Source organism: Homo sapiens, chromosome 1 (genome assembly GCF_000001405.40).
Source record: "Homo sapiens chromosome 1, GRCh38.p14 Primary Assembly".
Taxonomy (NCBI): domain Eukaryota; kingdom Metazoa; phylum Chordata; class Mammalia; order Primates; family Hominidae; genus Homo; species Homo sapiens.
In genome coordinates, this window is record NC_000001.11 from 231,168,751 (window position 1) to 231,189,955 (window position 21,205).

Below are 21,205 nucleotides of genomic sequence, written 5' to 3' on the forward strand. Positions count from 1 at the left end.
GTACAGATATTGCTCACTATGACCTCTTGGATTTTAAGGTCTGTGAAAAGACAAGGCCTTGGGGGCCCACCTAAGGCATTTTTGGGTAGGGTTGGATGGGCAAAAAGAGTTAGGTAGGGAGAAGTGTTTCGTAAAAACTTTCCAGGGGGCCTGAAGTCTACAACTCTATGGCTGATGATTGTACACTTGCTGCCAACTTTAAGCAGAGTGTTTGGAGTCCAAACTGAGAAGAGTCCGCCGGGGCTCTCAGAGCATGTGGCATGGAAATATGCTCATTCTCATTCTGAGTGGAAGCCCTAGATATTTTTTTTTATTTTTATTTGTTGAGATAGAGTCTTGCTCTATTACCCAGGGTGGAGTGCAATGGCGCTACTCAGCTCACTGCAACCTCCGCCTCTGGGGTTCAAGTGATTCTGCCTCAGCCTCCCGAGTAGCTGGGATTACAGGCATGTGCCACCACACCCAGCTAATTTTTTGTATTTTTAGTAGAGACAGGGTTTTGCCATGTTGGCCAGGCTGGTCTTGAACCCCAGACCTCAAGTGATCTGTCCGCCTTGGCCTCCCAAACTGTTGGGATTACAGGTGTGAGCCACTGCACCAGCCTTCGATTCTTTTCTCTTTTTTTTTTTTTTTTTTTTTTTTTGAGACAACGTTTCTGCTCTTATAACCCAGACTGGAGTTCAGTGGTGCACCATGTCAGTTCACTGCAACCTCTGCCTCCTGGGTTCAAGTGATTCTCCTGCCTCAGCCTCCAAGTAGCTGAAATTACAGGCATGCACCACCACGCCTGGCCAATTTTTGTATTTTTAGTAGAGACAGGGTTTCTCCATGTTGGTCAGGCTGGTCTCAATCTCCTGACCCCAGGTGATCCACCTGCCTCGGCCTCCCAAAGTGCTGGGATTACAGGCATGTGACACCACACCCGCCCGAAGACTAAATTTTTGAGAAGTTGAATCTTTTACCAACTCTAAAGTTCTGGGAAAAGAAGTGCCTAGGCTGGCTTCTCTCCTATCTGCCCCAGACTGGCTAAGAACCAATGGCAAATCTGCTCAGAGCCCTGGGAAGATGAGCTGACTCCCCTAACTAGAGGCTGCAGCACTTCACACCATCTCTGTGCCAACATCACCACTGTCTTCAAGCCACCTTTGCTGTAGCCCTACCCTATGCTTAGATTTAATTCCAAGTAGGTTGGTAATTCAGGGACCTTTATGTTACACCTTTAAAATGTTTTTTTCTTTCTCTCTTTTTTTTTTGAGTTGGAGTTTCACTCTTGTTGCCCAGGCTGGAGTGCAGTGGTGCAATCTCGGCTCACTGCAACCTCCGCCTCCTGGGTTCAAGAGATTCTCCTGCTTCAGCCTCCTGAGTAGCTGGGATTACAGGCATGTACCACCATGCCCAGCTAATTTTTTATTTTTAGTAGAGATGGGGTTTCCCCGTGTTGGTCAAGCTGGTCTCAAACTCCCAACCTCAGGTGATCCGCCCACCTCTGCCTCCCAAAGTGCTGGGATTACAGATGTGAGCCACCGTGCCCAGTCTTTTTTTCTTTTTAATATGCTTTCCTTGTCACACACATCTAGGAAACAAAAAATGGGTTTGAGAAAAGAAGGCAAGAATCCAGAAACTTGAGTTGCTTTATCTTCTCTTTGAAGACTATTTATATAGAGAAATATAAGAAATTAAAAGTTGAAGACAACCTCAAAGGCTGTGAATGAACAATCCTCCTGTCACTATTCATGAATATATTTCATAATGTTTGCTGTGGTGGTCACTGTGTCGTTAAGGTATTGTTATATTTTTAGCCTGCAATGGAAGGGCTTTTATGCCAGTAGACATTCATGGTGATGGAGCTTACATGTAGAAATCAACAATATAGAGTGTTCTAGATGGGAGGAATCTCTTAATTCCTGAAACAGACCAGGGAAAGGGTCAGCAAACTGTGGCCCACTCCCTGTTTTTGTAAATAAAATTTTATTGAAACACGGCCACACTCATTTATTTACTATTGCTAATGGTTGCTTTTGGCCATGTTTGCTTTTGGAAGAGTTGAGTGGTTGCAACAGAGATGATGTGGTCTGTAAAACTGAAAGTATTTACTATCTGGCCCTTCATAGAAAATAATTTGCTCTCCTTTAGATTGCAGCCTTGTTGGTCGCAATCTAAGTGTGGGCCTCCACCCTGCAGCATCAGCATCAACCTGGGAGCTCACTGAAAATGCAGAATTTTTAATCTCAAACAGTTCTGCTGACTCATGATTTGTGTTTTAGCAAGATTCTAGGTGATTTGCATGTACATTAAACTTTGAAATGCCCTAATGGGACTGCTTTTAGAGCTCCAGGGTGCTAGGCCCATGACTTTCACTGAAAGTCATCTGAGAAGTGGATGTGTCTCCTCTAGGGGGCCTGAGAGCTTTGAACTAGTGTCTTATTTAGTTACCCTGGGCACCAGTCAGGATCTTTAGGTTACACAAACTCTGGGTACTGGGAAACCATATGGTGCTCAAAGACCACCTGGCCCAGAGATGGGCAGGAATCTCTAAGGGGTGGGAAGTGTCTGCAAATCTGTATGAGTCTTCTTGAGTTAGAGCAGAGGGGCCTGAGGAGAAAGAAATTCTGGAGAAATGCTTTCTGCTGCTTTCCTGGGATTTAAAATAAACCTACTTAGCTGTTTGTACCTTGGGTTTCATATTAGTTTGGGTCTTAGTTGTTCTCTAAATCAGCAAAGAGAATGCTTTATCCACTCTTTAGCCATTTTCGGTGGGGGTGCTGCCCAGGTAGTGGTGGAGGTTATGACAATCATAACAAGGGAACCTCAGGAATAGCAGAGAATCCAGACAGACATTGGGAGGGGGCTTTAGCAAATTCCTTCCTCCAAGTTTGGAATTTCCTTTTGTGAAGTTCTTGATGTGAAACTGAGGGTTTCAAAATGTTTATTTTCTAGGGTCTGCTGTTTTCTAACAGAGATTATGAGTCGCAACCTCTTCATTTTGCAGATGAGGAAACTTGAGAAGAAGGGGTTTGCTAAACTTGTACAGCAAGTTGTGAAATGATTTTGCAAAAAAACAAGTCTGGGCATGGTGGTTGATGCCTGTGATCCCAGCACTTTGGAAGGCAGAGGCGGGCGAATTGCTTGAGGCCAAGAGTTTGAGACTAGGCTAGCCAACAGAGAGAGACTGCTTCTCTATAAAAAATAAAAGCATTTAGCCAAGGATGGTGACACGTGCCTGTAGTCCCAGCTACTCAAGAGGCTGAGGCAGAGGGAATGCTTGAGCCCAGGCTGTGGTGTGCTATGATTGCAGCGCTGCACTCTAGCCTGGGCAACAGAGCAAGACCCCAACTCTAAAAACAAACAAACCAACAAACCAACAAAAACGGCCCCCTTTATTGCTCCTCACTGTACATTTTGAATAACTGTAAAAATGCAACAGAATGCTATATGTATATTTGAACAAAAACAGATGCCTATGGCATCAGCTGAGGAGTAGTTATGCATAGAAGAAATAAAGCATTAGCTGACAGCTATTTTTAAAAGTGGGGGGAACAGAGATGGAGCACAACCTCTCATTCAACTGGAATGGGGCAGCAGGAAAAGGGAATCGAAGGTGGGGACGGGATGGGGGAGCTTCAATGTCCTGTTTGGGACGAATAAGGCAAGAGTTTGGGGGCCAGAAGGGATGTGAGAGAGATCACTAGCGTTCCCTCTCTATTTTACATATGGCTACAGTGGCTACAGAAAGGAGATGTGGTGTGGAGGAGAGAGAGGGTGTGAAAGGATTCACAAGGACAGGGCAAGGTGAGCTGGGTTCTGGGAACCAGGAGTGTGGATGAGGCCTCAGTGACAGACGTATCAGACAGGATGTGGACACCTGCCAGCACTCACTCCAGAAGGAGAGGCTGGGCCTTAGTCACATGACATCTAAAAAAATCTGTCCAGACGGTGCATAGTTGTAAAAAATTAGGTCAAGGTTGTGTTAGGAAATTTAGACACATACTTGTATTTACTCAATCTCTCAATCCTTATAGTTTGATTCTGGATGATATCTATAAAACCAGGAAACCAGTGAACTATGAATACTCAGAAACAACAAGCCTCCTAAAATGAAGAGATGAGACTTTCTCTCACTCGATAAATTATTTGTTGCCTTATGGTTGGCTTTACCTATCAGCTGAGCTGTGTACCCACAACTAAAAGTCATCTCTAACACTTACTATAACGTAAATACTGATGCTGTCTCTTGACCATTACAGCCTTTTTCTGAGCTGATGCTGCTAATGATTATTTCTCTTTCAATTCACCTAATTACTCATTCAGTCAATGAGGACATCTTGAATGCCTATATATCATATCAGACACAGTTCTAAACACTGAGACCACCGATGGAATTTTCTTTCCTCAAAGAACATAAATCTAGTCACAAGAGAAAGAAAATTGACAAGTAAATGAACAAATAAATAAGCTGGATAGTGATAAATACCAAGATGGAAATAAAAACAATGTGATAAAAAATACTTAGGCAGGGCCAGACACAGTGTCCCATGCCTATAATCCTAACAATTTGGGAGGCTGAGGCAGGTGGATTTCTTGAGGCCAGGGGTTCAAAACCAGCCAGGGTAACATAACGAGACCTTGTCTGTATTTTAAAATACCAATAGTACTTAGGCAGACCTCTTTGGCAGAAAAGTTGAAAAACAATCACTGAGGAGGATGTATTCAAGCTAAGACTTGAAGACTGGATGGGAAAGAACCAGCCTTGCAGGATTCTGAAGGCAGCACATTTCACAGAGAAGACAAGGGCCAAGAACCAGGGGCAGGTGACGCCTGGTGTGTTTAAACGACAGAAATGGGCCAGTGTGCTTGGGGCATAATGAAACAGATGAATAAGGGGCAGAAGCAGAGAGCTAGGCAGAGAGGCAGAAGTGTACAGGGCCTGGCGGGCCATGCAGAACAGGTTGAATTTAATAGTAAGTGCTATGGGTAACCATCAGAAGGATTTAAGCTGGGGTGTGATGTTTCTTTTCTAAAAGAGCTCTCTGACGGTGGTTTGGAAAATGGATAGTAGGGGGACAAGAGTGGAGGCAGGATGTGTAATTAGAAGCTGTTGCAGCAGTTTGGGCCATAAATATGGGGACTTGAATTAGGAGAGAGGCAGCAGAAATGGAGAGAGGCTTATGCATTCATATCCTGCTGGGGGTTCTCTGAGCTTCTTGGACTTTTGGTTTGGTGTCTTCTATTATTTTTGGAAAATTTTTATGTACTATCTCTTCAGAAAATTCTCCTTCTCTATCCTCTCTCTTTCTCTTTCTCTCTCTCATCCTTCCAGAATTCCAATAACACATATATTAGATTGCTTGCTATTGTCACACAGTTCTTGGATGATCTCTTCTTTTTTCTTTTGTCTTATTTTCTTTTTTTTTTTTTTTTTCTATTTAGAGACAGGGTCTCATTGTGTTTCCCAGGCTGTAGTGCAGTGGCACAATCATAGTTCACTGCAACCTTGAACTCCTAGGTTCAAACAATCCTCCTGCCTCAGCCTTCCAAGTAGCTAGGACTAGAGGCACATGCCATCATGCCTAGCAAATTTGCTAATTTTTTTTTTTTTTTGTAGAGGTTGCATTTTGCTATGTTGCCTAGGCTGGTCTCAATCTCCTGGCCTCAAATGTCTCCTACCTTAGCCACCCAAAGTGTTGGGATTATAGGCATAAGCCACCATGTCCAGCCTTTTATTTTACTTTTAGTCTTTTTTCTTTAATCACTTTTTTTGTTTCTTTGTGTTACAGTTGGGGTAACTTCTATTGACTTCCATTTCACTGGTTATTTTTTAGGCTGTGGCAAGTCTAGTGATTAGCCCCTCTCCCTCTCCCTTCTCTGTCTCCACTCTGCATTTTCTCAGATGTCCTGCCCTTTCCCCAACAGTCTGTCCCGTCTAATGCTATGGGCCTGTGTCTCTTTTCTCTATCTTACCCAGGAAGAAAGAGTTTTTTCATTTCCCTTCCCTCAGCTACTAGAGGTCTTTGCTGTGCTCTGGGAGGTTGTTTTTCTTTCTTTTTAAGTTATGCTTTCTTGAAATTTATAAACCCTTGCAAACTGCCTTATGCCCTTTTTGAAACTAATAAATGCATAAATAAACAAAATAAGTAGTCTACTTGAATACAACCAAAGAGAGCTAGGATCTTCTGGAAAGTCTCATTAAGATAGTCCCCTAGTTGTGAGCAGTGCTGCAGTCACTGCTAGAAAAACTGAATGCTGCTTGGAAATGTTTGGATCAAGAAACAGAGATCTTCTTGGTCCTGCAGCCATGCTACTGCTCCCTGCCAGTCCCACACAATAAAGAGAACTTTGCCTGGTGCAGACAGTGCAGCCATTCATCATATTTCAAGTTTCATGTGAATGTCACCACACACCATCAGGTTGCTGGGAGGGCGTGAGTTTTACCTCTCACATTGGTTTCCTTCACTGAACTATCTGCAGCTATCAGTGATGAGTGTTTGTCCTGCACACAGTACTGTCTCCCCAGCAGGGTTCTACACCTGTAACCTACTGGGAATATGAAGATGCACAGAAGGGGACATCAGGGCACACCAAAGGCAGGAAGACCCTGCAGGGGGATCTCAGGAAGTGTGAGAGGTCTGAGTTTTTAGCCTACTTACAAGCCAACAAATTAGCCTGCCAGAGTTTCGTGGGTGCAGTCAGAAGACATTAGACTCCTAATTCAGAGATGGAGAACAGTTTATTACTCACAGCAACAGCAGGAGCCAGAACATCCACATATTGGGCCAGTTCCCATAAGGGGATGTGAAGAGGGCTAGATCATGACACCCGCACACGCAGCCGGCTGCATTACAGGAGAGGAGCCTTGAGCTTAGCGAACCCCAATCTTTTTACAAAGGGCAGTAAACAGCAGCCCATTGCTCCGAAGGGAGATACCGTCTCTATCTTCCAAGGCTGTCCTCATCCTTAGAAACATAGCCCAGAACAAAGAGCAGTCAGTGCCTCACTTACAAGATGTGGAGAAACACCAGAAACCCATGGAAAATTATCTTCCACCAGGAGAATTAAGTGAAAATTCAAATAGATCCTTGAGTGATTCCTGCCATTTGGGCCTCATGTGCATTGTGGGTAACTTCCCGAGGCTCCTCTGGTTTGCAAAATATCTTCTTTCAATTGGGGGCCACAGGTCTCAGGGCATCTGGGCAAAGCAAGGAGGATCTGTATTGTCATCTGTCAGGCTTCTTGCATCTTTGGGGTTTGCTGGGTGTCATGGGAGGGTGGAATGTGGGACCCAGCTAAAGTTTCCCAGTTAAAGCTGTTCAATTAAGGTGGCTTTCATTCCTGAGTCCATCTGTGTCCCTTCCAGGATGTGAAGGAGAAATGTCATCTTGTGGCTTTCCATATTATCCAGTCAAAACAATCCACTGGTTAAGAATTCTTTGAGTGCCTCCTGTAATCCATGGGCTGTGCTGCAGACACACTTAAAACAGGCCACAAGACAGCTCACAGCCTGCTGCAGGAGACCATTGTACAGCCAACCTGATGTATATGCGCCTGATATGAAAAGTGGAATAAGTGCCCTCCTTGTAATGTGAATAAACAGATGGAGGAAGAGTGAAGAGAAGGCAGTGAATTTCCCCCAGAGATTAGGAAGGGGAAGAGGGAAAGAGTGGTAAGTGGGGAAACTGAAGATAAGATGATGCTTGAGCTGGGGTCACGGATGGTGAGTAGGTTCATTATTCAGGAAAGAAAGAAAAACTTAGCTGTACATCATTGCATGAGGCATTAAAGAAGATGTTTAAAATATAGTTCCTGTTCAAACAGCCAGTTGATTATCTGCTGGTAGAGTGCCAGGGATTCATCCATATTTACACAAAGCAGAGAAACATTGATGAATATGATGCCATGTCTAATAAAAATGAAGGAACTCAGACTACCAATCCTTTGAGTATCTGAGCTAACATACTGGATCTGGAGACAATGGGGGAAAAGGATGGGATAAATAGATTCAGAAGCCAAATTTAAGGGGACATCTAACTTGACAGGCAAAGAAGGATTAAACTTTAGCCTCATTTAAATTTCAGTGAAGAACAGGAATAGCCAGGCTATAATCTTTTTGAATTTTCTTGTAAATTTCAGTCATTTTACCCTGTTTGCCAATACAATCTGGCAAAAAAAAAAAAAAAAACACCTTTCAAACATCTCAATTTGCTCAGCTAAGTTAAGGGGCTAGAGATGGGGAGAAAGGGGTAAAAACAAAAGAAGTGAGGAAACCGTAACATAAGAGATTCCCAGGAGGAAAAGGGCAGGGATATGGACTTACTTTAAAAGAAGGCTGATTTTGGTCATTTAAATGGACAGGAGGGCTCATCTCACCACTTATGCACAAGAAATCAAGAACAACACCAGAGCACAAATAATTGGTGCTAAAATATGTGGAACCATCCTTAGGTATGAATGAGCACGGAGCAGAGACTAGAGAGATGGGAGTTGAGTTGGGTTTCAAAGGATTGGAAGGATGGGGTAGGGGGTGCATAATTTGACGACAGAGAGAAAGCTCTAAGACAAATTCTCATCAGACACCTATTGTCACAGAACTAATTCTATTGTTGTTACAAGAGACCGGAGCTGACCTGATGCTAAAGAAGCAGTTTGGTTGCCGGGCGATGAGAACCTCCCCTGGCTTGGCTCAGCAAATGGTCTTGATACATTGGCAAAGTCAGAAGTCTGGTCCTGGGGCTTCATGCATCAGACATCCCATCCCAGGCTTGTTCTTGGTGTTATCAGAGCATGAGCTGATTACTCTCTGGTCTCTAGCCTTTCTTCACGGAAGTGAGACTTGCTGTGCCCAATTATACTTTCCTGCCAAATGGGATATTCTTACAGTCTCCATGGGCATTTTTACTAATAACTCCAGACAGCTTTAAAAATAAAATCCCATCTTGATTAGACTTTTACACCCATCAATGTGTCTTGCAGCTAACAGAAACTTACAGGATCTCTTTCTTTTTAAGACCAGCTTTATACATCATATGCATAAATAACACTATATTTTGAACACTTTGAGAACAAGGACTATGTATTATTTATCTTTGTAATCCCAGTACCCATCAGAGCATCTGACACCCAGTCAAGCACAAGAAACATCTATTTAATAAATGAATAGGACTTAACACTAAAATGTATTCTAATATCCATGCCATAAAGTATGATTTCAGAGCAGTCCCTATGAACTATTTGTTGAATCATAGAATAGAATGATTCATAAAGGAAGGGTCATTCCTGGGGACAGTATGGAAAATGAGAAGAGGAGGAATTATGCATTTTCCAGGGCCCCATATTGAAAAGAGCCATCCATGCTCATTAGCATGGCTCTCTCCTCCCTCCTTATGTGTGGTAATCATGTGAGAAACAGTCAGCTGAGCTTGTGACATGAAAAAAGCTGGCTGGGAAATGTTGGCATGACTTTTCCCAGATGTTAGCACTGCTTCAACTTTTGAGAGAACACTCTGAGTGTAAGTTTACTAGACTGACATTACTAAAATCATTGGTGCTATAGAGGCAGGAGAATACGGGGAATAAGAAAGCCAGTTGCAAGCCAACAATCCTAAAACTCCTCCTTTTGCCATGGACTGACGGCATATTAAATGAGATCATGCATTTTAAGGAATTAACAGTGTACACCACATGTGCGTGTTCAATAAAAGAAAGCCACTATTATCATCACGATTATTATTGAACGTCAAGGCTGAGAATGCTGTGAAAGGAGGGAATTGCTTTCCTGTCCAAGGCTGGGCACAAAACAATCTTAGTGACGGTGTCCTCTTGGGGTAGGGCTAAGAAGCAGCGTTTAACCTAATTGAGCTCACTGGCCCCTTGGCAAGGCCACTTCCCCTCCTCACACTGAACGGGTGCCTAGAAAGATCTATTCTGGGATTGCCTGGACCAGCTTTCTGCTCCATCATTGGCTGATATAATGGAAAGATGATTGGAATTTAAATAAAAAGATCCGTGTTCCATTTGGAACTATACGTCTTTGGATATGTTTCTTAACCACTCTCGGCCAGTTTCCTTACACACAAAATGCTGGTGTGAGGATGAAGTCAGATGAGGTTAGTAAAAGGTTCCTATTACACCTTCGGGGCACTCAGTTTATTCCTGAAAATATGAGAAATTTGGCCTGCTTCCCTTGTGTCCTAGAGAGCCCAACACCCATTTTTATGATGTGGAGAAAGAGTATATGCAATATGATTTTCTGTGAATATATATGTAAGGGTATGTATTAGGAGGTAAAGCTGTACATAATGTATTTGTTTGTTAAGGCTTCCATCACAAATTACCACAAGCTGGGTAGCTTAAAACAACAGACATTTCTTGTCTCACAGTTCTGGAGGCTGGAAGTCCAAAATCAAGGTGTCGGCAGGGCGGTGTTCCCTCTGAAGGGACCAGGAAGGACCTGCCCCAGGGCCCTGTCCCAGCTTGTGGTGGCTCCTTGGCTTGTGGCAGCAGAAGTCTAATCTCACATGGCATTCTCCCTCTGTGCATGCATGTATGTGTTCAAATGTCTCTTCTTTGTAAGGACACCAGTCATAATGGATTAGAGCCCATTCTACTCCAGTGTGACCCCCACCTTAACCAATTACATCTGTAATGGCCCTATTGGCAAACAAGAAAGCATTCTGAGGTCCGGTTAGGGGTTAGGATTTCAACCCCAAATGTGACTTTTTGTGGGACACATTTCAGCCTATAACACACGAAAACATTAATTAGTTGGTTAATGTCACAGTGGTCGTTAACCCATTTATGCCTGAGGTTGCAATTTTTTGAATTTTTGCAATCAGACCTTGGTGATGACCTTGAACAGTAGGATATGAATAACTCCCACAAGCTTAGCATTCCAATAATGGAACACTAGGCATAAATGGGTTTGGGTGCAACAACGAAACAAGAAGAGAGCTGGCAATTGAAAGAAAATTGAAAGTTACTAACTCAAGTAGGTTAAGCCCATTGTTTCCTCATACTCTGTGAACATATTCAGCCAGATTGTGCTCCTCTGAAGCTAGCAGAAAAGTGGGGAATTTTAGATTCCAGGTGTGAGTTGGGGAGAAGGACGGTTTAAGGTAGGGGAGGGGCAGTGTGGTGCTGATTAGAGGGCACTGGGTAGGGTCCTGCAGACTGGGCAAAGAGTAGGAGAAGGGATGGAGGAGAGATGGCAGGTTTCAAAGGGAGTCTTTTCATCCTCTCAACTTTCTCCTGTGCCTTTGTGACAGTCACCAAAAGTAAGTGTATTGAAAATGTGACCCATCCAGGGTTATAATGAGAAGTGTTATCATTGCAGCAGGACATTGCCCTAATGCTTAAATGTCCTGAGGTGTTTGAGGGAAAGAGCTTTGCTTTCCACTGAATAATCTATCTTAGAGTTTATCCTATGTGTCAACAAATATAGAAATACATTGGCATTTTAATGGGTGCTGAGTATTCAGTTATGTGGATATTGCATCATTTGTATTAATCACTATTTCTGAATATTTAGGCTGTTCACAAATTTCACTATTTTCTTAGATGCAGTGACCATTCTTGTATATACATCTTTGCATGCTTATCTTATTATCTCTTTAAGATAAAGTTCTATAAAAAGTCTCTAATTAAGAAAAAACACTCTATGGATTGATTTCTTACCTCTCGGTAAACATATGAAGCCAGGATACTGTCTTTAAGAACAACTTCATTCTTACCTCCCTCCCAGCGTGCTAGTCTCCCTCTCCTGCACCCCCCTTCAGATACTGTTCTACCCTAAGTCATATCTGGATGCTCCTGCCAAATCTATTGCATTGAAGATGGCAGCCTGGAGCATGGAGGAAGGGGGTGATGGTGGAGGAGGAGTTGGATGAATCAAGGGAAGGAAGAAAAAAGTCGCATGTGTTAATATGTTATTTATTTTTAATTGCCACAACTTAGAGGTAGGCAATAAAATCCCTAACATCTGCACTCTGTAGGAGAGTAAGAACTGGCCCCAGAGCACAGGGCTAGTAAGTAAAGCCAAGGTCTGTCTGAATGCGGAGGCCATGTTTGCTAGATTTTATCATTTGTTCAAATGTTTTCTGCTGTCCCTCTGGGAGAATATACTTCTTGTCCTATCACTCTAAGGCTGGGCCCTCTAACTTGCTTGGGTCAATGAAATGTGAGTGGGATGGATAGTGCCACCTCTCAGGAGAAGGTTTTTTTGTTTGTTTGTTTGTTTGTTTGTTTGTGATGGAGTCTCGCTCTGTCGCCAGGCTAGAGTACAGTGGTGCGATCTCAGCTCACTGCAACCTCTGCCTCCCAGGTTCGTGCGATTCTCCTGCCTCAGCCTCCCAAGTAGCTGGGACTACAGGCATGCACCGCCATGTCCAGCTAATTTTTATATTTTTAGTAAAGATGAGGTTTTACCACGTTGGCCAGGATGGTCTCGATGTCTTGACATCGTGATCCACCCTCTTCGGCCTCCCAAAGTGCTGGGATTACAGGCGTGAGCCACTGCACCTGGCCAGGAGAAGTCTTAAGAGCAAGGGTGTGTTTGGGCTGTAGCTCCTTTTCCTCTGCTATGAGTCTACTATGCCTCAAATGAGAAGCTCCTTCAGCCTGAATCCTGAAATGCAGAGGACGGGAAATAGAGCTGCAGGTGACCTGCAATGGGCACTCAGTGTCAGCAAGAAGTGAACGTTTGTGGTTGGAAGCTTCCAAGTTGGGGGGTGGTGTTTGTTACTGCAGCGTCACTAGCTTAAGCTGTCTGATACAACCATTCTCTCACCATTTCACTATCTTTCCTCTCTCTTCTGAGCCTTGCCCTGGTCATTGGCCAAAATGTTTCTATTCTTTCCTTTGGTCACAGAAAAATGAGAAAAAAGAAAAAAACTTTAAAAATCTAGCAGTGTCCTCTACTAGGTCCATATTTAGACTTCTTTTTAGACTTGATTTTTTTTCGTGGCTTTTTTTGCTTGACTCCCTGAGCTGTAGAGAGGTAGACATTCCCACCATACATTCAACTCCTGGAATAGGGCCCACTATCCAGAGTGAATAAACACTGTTTTACTGACAACCTGCTTTTCCTTTGAACTTCTTTTCTCTATTCTGAACCTTTTTTCTGGATAGTTTGATTTGGCTTAAAATCTATTTCTTCTGCTATAATTCAAAATAGTAGAAACATAAGCCTAGCACTTCTGGAGCCTGTTTTAAAGGGATGGTTTGGGATATTTAGCATACTTCCGCAGCATGTTATCCTCATATCTTCACATGGCCAGTGACAAATGAGGGCCTTGCTCTAGTAGGTTACCCCAAAGTGTAAGAAGTGAAATCGTGTGACTGTTCTAATATAATATTTCATATCAGGTGCAAAGCTAAAGTGGAGCTCTGGTCCTTGCTTCTGATCCTTGGTTCATTTTAGAAACTTCCCTGTCATCTTGCCCGATTAAAAACTAATTCACTTATTCAACAAATATTTATGGGACATACACTGGTAGCCCACGCAAAGATGAAACAAGCAAGGTCTCATCTCCCAAGATGGCACAATTTAGTGAAGGAAGAAGGAAATGTTCTCAGCTGTCCAGGAGGATAAGGTGGGAGGATCGCCTGAGGCCAGGAGTTTTAAACCAGCCTGGGAAACACAATGAGACCCTGTCCTAAAAAACAAATTTAAAAAAAAAATAGTAAATACACGATTACAGTAGAACAGAAAGAGATCCACATCTCGTTGGCACAGGGACCCAGAAAAGGGACATCTCAACAGGACTTGAAGGGGGAGGTTGCACAATCCAGCATAAGGAAGGGACACTTGAGCTGAGGTTTGGATGACCGTGGGGCACCGGTGCAGCCATGGGAAAGGGCACATCCAGCAGATGAATGGCAAGGGCACAGGCACAGAGGCACACAGCTCCTTGGCAGGTCATGTGAAGGTGGCTTGCATCTTGAGGGTGGGTACCGGCTCTGCCACTGTCTGCCCACTTCAGCAGGAACTGACAAGCCCAAGTCCAAGGGGAGGCATGGATTTCCCAATTACTCTGGGGTTGGCTCCTGCACACGTGAGCTTTTGAAGGTCATTTGGCCCTCACTGACTGCCTTGTCAGAGGAAGAAGCCCCCGTGTGCCTGCGGATATAGCTAATGACTGGAAGTCAGTTTCTGGCAGTACTGCCCATCAGTCCTGCCTCTTTTTATTTTGACTTCAGCATTAAGTTCTAGCTAAGAAAATTTGGTTGGTGGCTCTGACATATCAATCCTGGCAACTTAAAATTCACTGTTAACAAGATAGGTTGCTCCTCCCTGCAAGCCTTGGGGCAGGAGCTCGTGGGGAACTCCTAAGCAGTCAGGATTTTGGGAGTCAGAGTCTGAAGCTGAGTTGTGGAAGGGATAAAGAAGAGACCTCTCATCATCACCATCTCCACAAGCATGGACTATACCAAGGCTCAGCATGAATCACTAATTATAGCATAGCTGTCTTTGCATTTGTTGGGCATCCTAACCACTAAATCTGCTAGAGTCCTTTGCTCTGAGCAAAGGAATCCAACTCTGGCTAACTTGAATCAAAAGGAAATTATCAGAAAAATAGGCCAGGCAGAGTGGCTCACACCTGTAATCTCAGTGCTTTGGGAGGTTGAGGCAAGAGGATCACTTGAGGCCAGGAATTTGAGACCAACCTGGGCAACACAGCAAAACCTCATCTCTACAAAAAGTAAAAATAACAAAATATAAAAATTACTTGGGCATGGTGGCACGTGCCCAACATCCTAGTTACTTGGGAGGCTGAGGCAGGGAGGATCACTTGAGCTCAGGTGTTTAAGCCTGCAGTGCTTCATGATGGCACCACTGCAATCCAGACTGGACAACAAAATGAGACCCCCATCCCTCCCTCCCAACAAAAAGCAAAAAATATTGCTTTTTTCTTGAGCACTCACAGAATCAATACGAACTTTGAGAGCCAGGTTTGAAACTGTAACAACAGGGAGCACGTAGATAGCATTGAATATGTGCCAGGTGCATTTTACAGTTATTAACTCACCTAATCCTCACTATAGCTGTTAGGCACTTACTGCTATTACCCGCCTTTTGCATTTGAGGAAAATGAGGGCAGGGAGAGTAAGTGACTCACCTAATGTCACAGGGTCAGTGAGCTGGGATTCAAACCCAGGCATTCTGGCTCCCAAGGCTTCCCCAAGTGTGAAGAAGCAGCATATACAGGAATGCTCTGATAGCAGGGATCTGCTCAAGGAACTATGGAACAAACACCCATCTCTCCAGGTCTCTTTGTCTCTTTGTTCAGTTTTGAATTCCAAGGAGTTATCATCCTGCTGGCCTCGAATAGGGTGTTAACGAATCCACTGAAAAGGAATGTTTTTAAAAAGAGTCTTTATTCCAACCAGCAGTTTGCCAACTGGGGAGACTCAGCCTTCAGTATAAAACAAAGGCACGTCTGCCAGAACAAAGAGAAGGGCTATCCTGCATAGAAAAAGTTTCTGCTTAGATTCTAATCCCAGTTCCCATTGCATCTGAGGGATGCAAGCTTGTTCAGTTCTGATTTGCTGATGTTAAAGTTGACCACGGGTCACATTTCATTGGTCAGGTTCAGGTGGTAGAATGAGGACGTCGGCAGCAGTTGATTCTGGCAGTGTGAGCAGGAACAGACAGCTAAGAAGGCCCCAACATTGAGCTACTGTTCGGCTTGCACAGGGCATGTAGGGAACCTGCAGTAGGCAAATGGCTTTCAGCGCCACTCAGAATTCAGACCCGGATAGCCCCTCAGGATCCATCTCGAAGGGCTGGCTCTCTCAGGGTTCACACAGGCATGTGCCTACCCCTTGTCAGGGTGAAGGCAGTGGTACTGGAGTCCTAATTCCAGCCCTACCAGGCTGTGCTCAGTGGAGAAAAGGCAACTTCTCAAAGCAAAATTGGGATACTGTTATAGAGGATAATGGAAGGTCAACAGCAGAAAAACAATGGTCCCTGCAGCTGTCGGGGAAGCTCTCTCTGGGGTTCTCATTCTACCGAGAACCACCATGAGTAGAGTGCCAGTCCCTGAACCCAGGGCCTTCCATGCACACCATCATTAAACCTTGAGGCAGGCCTTTGGGGTGGGTATCATCACCCCAATTCACACGTGAGGACACGAAGTCTCACAGAGGGCAAGAAACTAGGTCACGTAAAATTAGGGTTTGAATTCAGGGCCCAACCCTGAAGCCCAGCTCTAAGGGTTGCTGGATAAACACCCAGCAGTGCTCCTGAATGGGTGGCCGGCAGGTTGGGGAGGGTCAGCTTATTCTGCTTGCAGGGCCTAGGCTAGTGTGGAGCTGAGCTGGTGCCTGGACTTCCAGAGAGCAGGGCACTTCGGTCACCATCTGCTGGCTCCTAAATCCGAGTTGCTGGCTCAATGGGAAGTGTGTGTTGTCCAGCCAGCCAGCCTGTACTCCACGGCGTCCATTCCTGCACCTTCCACCCTTCTCAGGATTCCCAGAGCCTTTATCTGAAAACTCCCTGTGAGAAAGGAGTCTCCCCTCACCCCTGGACCAGCTCTCCCTCCCACCCTCCTACACTGGAGGGATCTGAGAAAAGAAAAGGAAGGAAAGTCAGAAGGGAGAATGGCTCTTGTTTTCCTCATCTGAAGTGGGGAAGAATCTAAAACAACCCAAACAAGTGGAACCCAGGAGCTCCCACCACGGCGGGACCCCCAGGAAGTCTGTGTTCCAGCCCCCAGTGCAGGACCAGGGAGTGAGCCGGGATGAACAGGCAGCGAGGGGAGGCCACATCGAGAGTGAGAAGTGGGATCCCTAGTAGGAGACACAGAGGATGCCTTGGGCTGCAGCACTGGGACCTTTGCCTAGGGGAGCCCAGACGCGTCCTGCCCTTTTGCAGCTCCCCAGAGCACACAGCACGAAATCAGTGAATTCAGAAGACACTGTTGAGTGCCCGTTCTGCACAGGCTCTGTACTAGGGACACAAAGATGATTGAACGGCTCACTCTGGAAGTCCTGATCTAGTGAGGGACACGGTCAAGTAGATAAGTAACTAAGACCTCAGACAGATGATGGCGAGGGCCACAGTCGGAGGTAAGCGAGAGGTGATGGCAGAACAGAGATGAACCACAAAGTTCATGGAGTCTGGGGGGAAGACTTCGTGGAAAAGGAGGATTTGAGTTGGACGTGGGCAAGCTGAGCTAGGACTGGAGATGAGTGTGATAAACGGCCGTGACAGCCGGGACAAGGGCTCATAACTAGAGGAGACGAGAAGGAGGTGGGTCTTCTGGAAGATAGGTGCTTGGGTTGCAGATTTTCCCAGGGAAAAAGAAGGGGATGTTCCCCGTGAGCAGAACTCACCTCTCTCCTGATAGGCGGCTGGCAGTCGCTTGCTGAATGAATACATCGGTGAATGGATGAAGGGCTTGACAGCCAGGCTGAGGCGCTCCCTCTTTGTTCTGCATGAATCACAGCAGTGGAACTCTTGAGCCCAAAGGGCCAGAAGGAGAGACAAGAGTACATTCTGGCAAAAGCAGGATTTCTTCCTGAAGGAGGAGCACATCTCTAGTTGGAACAGGACAAATCGGGCCTGACCTGGATTCCTGGTTTCAGCAGCGCATCCGTGGACCTCCTTTTAGTCCCTCTGTATTCTTTGCTAGGGTTGCCAGAGCAAAGTACCACAAACTGGGTGGCTTAGAACCACAGAAATATATCGTCTCACTGTTCTGGAAGCCAGAAGACTGAAATCAGGGTGTCGGCAGGGCTATGCTGCCCCTGAGGGCTCTGGGAAGGACCTGCTCCGGCCTCTCTCCCAGCTCCTTGTAGATCCTTGGCAGCATAACTCCAATCTTCACGTGGTGCTTTCCCTAGCACCTGTCTGTCTCTATGTCCAAATCTCCCCTCTTCATAAGGACACCAGTCCTGCTGGATTAGGGCCCACCCTAATGACCTCATTCTAACTGAATCATCTCTTCAAGTACAGTCACATTCTGAGGTGCTGGGGGTTAGGACTTCAATGTCTAAATTTTGGGGGACACAATTCAGTCCGTCGCCCTTCCCCTGAGGCTGGTCCAGGATACAGGCTTGCATTGAGCAGTATCTCCAACCATTTGAAAATGCCAGGCAGCCTTCCCCAGCCCAGCACCCCAGAGGCCTAAAATGAAAGCTTGGATGATGGGAAGGTGCTTCTCAGGCTGTCTGGGCAGCTTTCATCTTCCTGCTAGAGGAAGGGGACTGCTTTACCCGCACATCCCACGACATCCACGGCTGCCTCATCAGCAAGGCTAATGAGGATGCCCATCTCACAAGCATATGGATCTCGACCAGGAGATCAATCTAAGTCTAAAAACAGAAAGCTGAAAGCTTCCCAGGCAATGGTGTGACCAGGAAGTCGTAGCTGTGTTGTTGGATCCCTCTTTATATTTCACCTGGGAAGACAGCGTTTAAGAAGATGAAGGAAAATAGCCACATTTAAGCAACAAGGGGCAAGAAAGAAGATGCAGGGAAAAGACCTGCCTCTGTTGGCCCCAGGCTCCCCAAGTGGGGAGTAGGATTTCGGGATAAAAGGAGAAGGAGATCATCTGCCTGGCGGAGGAGTGTGCCTCAGTGGTATCCGTGCCTCCCTCAGGTGGTGCTTAGAAGTCAATTTCTCTGCTTACCCAGGAGCCTCTACCTTTTAATTTTTTTAAAAAATGAGTCATTTACATTTCTCATTTATTTCTACTGTTCTGCCAACAGATGAGGGCATTTTTAACTTATTAGGCATTATTATCAGCCACAGGTTAAAAAAAAAAAACAATACCTTAGCACTGAGGGGCAGATAAAAAGGTGAGAGAAATCCCCTGTGGTCCATTTCACAACCTCCTTTGTGCCCAATGATGGTGTGAAACTCTCAGTGAAGCTTCGATTCCTGTTTTAATACACGCCCCATCTCTACTGTCTCCCAAGTGGGGCATCAAACTGCAGGAGGCGGAGTGGGAGAGGCGGGGTGGGAAAGGCGGGCAGAAGGAAGCCACGTGGCTGGGTAGCCAGAGGGACAGCGGGCAAGCTCTCTCTGATCCACGCCAGGCACAAAGGAGCTGCTGTAGTGCTTCTGGAGAGAGACCCAGGCAGGCAGATGCTTGGTTAGGCTGTGGGAACAAGAAAGTAGCTCAGCACTCCAGACGCCTAAGATGAAAGCTTGGCTGATGGGAAGTGACAGGAGTGAATCTATGGGATCTCCCTTCCTAGAGAAAAGCAAGTCCTGTTCTTTCGTGTTCTCTCCCAGAGGAGAGCTGCCTGCACTTCCCTGCCCTGCCAATCCATTTTTGCTTCCCATGCTCTCCCACTCTCACAGAGACATCTTTGTGAGAGCGTGATCTATGACTGTGTCCACATAATCCCTTCCACCCCTCCATCACACTGGGACCCGTGTTACATGGCACCATATTGCTATTCAAGGCAGTCTTGGTTGCTTCTGCCTCCCCCAGACACCTTGCTCTGTGTGGGACAGGAGCAGGAGGAGGTGGTGGTCAGTGTCATCCTCCCACATGTGTCCCCTGCAGTGCAGGGACAAAGCCCAGACTGATGGCAACGTTGCTTTATCAACATTCGCAAAGTGGCTGTGGAGGCTTCCTACACAGCTGCACATTTGAAATCCTAATGAGCTGGAGAGTGGAGCTTGGGTCTGATGAAACCATCATTGGCAGACAGGCAACCCTGCCCAAGCACACAGAATGCCAGGGACAAGGGTCCCCTGGAGAATAAAGATGCAGCTGGAAGATGGTGGGTGGTCTCAGCCCAGCAGCCCTGCCTCCGAGGGATTTTAATGGGAAATTAGGTTTTGTCCTCCTTCCACGTTGGTTGAACATCCAAAGTGCAGTGCAATGGAGTGCAAAGAGCATCGACTTTGGATTCAGAAAAATCTGGGTTTGAGTCCTGGCCACACTACTTACTAGCTGTGTGACTTTGAGCAAATTACTTCCCCTCTCGAGCCCATGCTCCCTTCTGTAAAATGGTGTTAATATGGCACCTCCTTGCTAGGTTATGAGGAATCAGATAAATTCGGCATGTAAAGAGCTCAGCACTTAGCAAGCTGTCGGTTGTTATTCTTATTGCTATTAATGGGAAGTCACCAGTTGCTACTGATCCTGTCCCACCTCAGGAGAGGAGAGGCCATCAAGTCCAGGTTGTGACTGGGTTCGGGCAGTCAGACCTTTGTCCTGTGGCACAAAAATGACATTGTTCTCCACAAGATCCACTTTTCTGGCCTCAGCGGGTGGATCTGTGTCTGGTGGATGTTGGTTCTGTGATGGATCTTGTCCTGAGAACTGCCTCATGGGCCCAGTACAAAGCTGACGATCCAGGTAGAAACAGACCCTCAATCAGGCACCATTTATAGTGGGTCCTGTGTACTAGCCTCCGGGCTCTGAGCTGGGGATGCGACACTGGATAAATCCAACGTGACTTCATTGAGTGCACAGTCCTCTGAGCAGCAGACATTGAACAGTTCTGTGGCCACATGTGAAATGAGGTTTTTAAAAATGATAAATTTAATTGCCAGTCATAGCAGGCTCAATGATGGCCTCCAAGGACGACATCCATATCTTTATTCCTGGAACCCATGTAAGGTGAATGTTACCTTACATGGCGAAAGAGCTTTGCAAATGTGATAAATGTGATGAAGTTAAGCATCTTGAGATGGGGAGATTATCCTGCTTTAACCTCACAATCATTGTGGGTCCAATGTCACCAGAAAGGTTCTTGTAAGAGGGAGATAGGAGGATCAGAGTTAGTCATAGGAGATGAGGATGGAAGCAAGATGTCTTAGTCTTCAGGATGCTATAACAAAATACCATAGACAGGGGGGTTGATAAACAAAAGGAATGTACTTCTCACAGTTCTGGAGGCTAGGAAGTCCAAGATCAGTGCCTAGCAGATTTGGTGCCTGGCAGGACGTTTTCTTGATTCATAGATGGCATCTTCTCACTCTGGGGCCTCACTCTGGGGCCTGTTTTATAAGGGTTCTAATCCCCTTCATGAGGGCTCCACCCTCATGACCTCACCACCTCCCAAAGTCCCCACTGCTGATACCACCTCTCCTGGGGTTAGGATTCAACATATGAATCTGGGGGAGATGCAAGCATTCAGACCATAGCACATGAAGTTGAACGATGCCAGGAAGGGGCCGCAAGCCAAGGAATGTGGGTGACCTCTAGAAGCCAGAAAAGGCACAGAAGAGGATTCTCCCTTAGAGCCTCCA

The 21,205-nt window shown here is 45.6% G+C and overlaps 1 protein-coding gene and 1 long non-coding RNA gene across 4 annotated transcripts in view, besides 1 other annotated feature; one reads left to right on the plus strand and one right to left on the minus strand.

Moving 5' to 3' along the window:
- Positions 1 to 21,205, plus strand: part of TRIM67 (tripartite motif containing 67) — a 59,508-nt gene that overhangs the window by 6,693 nt on the left and 31,610 nt on the right. The gene's annotated exons all lie outside the window — the stretch shown is intronic.
- Positions 15,065 to 15,593: an enhancer, noted in NCBI's record as "NANOG hESC enhancer chr1:231319561-231320089 (GRCh37/hg19 assembly coordinates)". NCBI's record gives its function as "activates a minimal SCP1, AML or CMV promoter by ChIP-STARR-seq in naive H9 embryonic stem cells {active_cell/tissue: H9 hESC(naive)}" and the evidence as "EXISTENCE:reporter gene assay evidence [ECO:0000049][PMID:30033119]".
- Positions 15,348 to 18,877, minus strand: TRIM67-AS1 (TRIM67 antisense RNA 1). The gene is made up of 3 exons (NR_166514.1): positions 18,767 to 18,877; positions 17,326 to 17,423; positions 15,348 to 16,486 (listed from the first exon to the last, which is right to left on the minus strand). It is a non-coding gene; the product is annotated as a TRIM67 antisense RNA 1 (long non-coding RNA).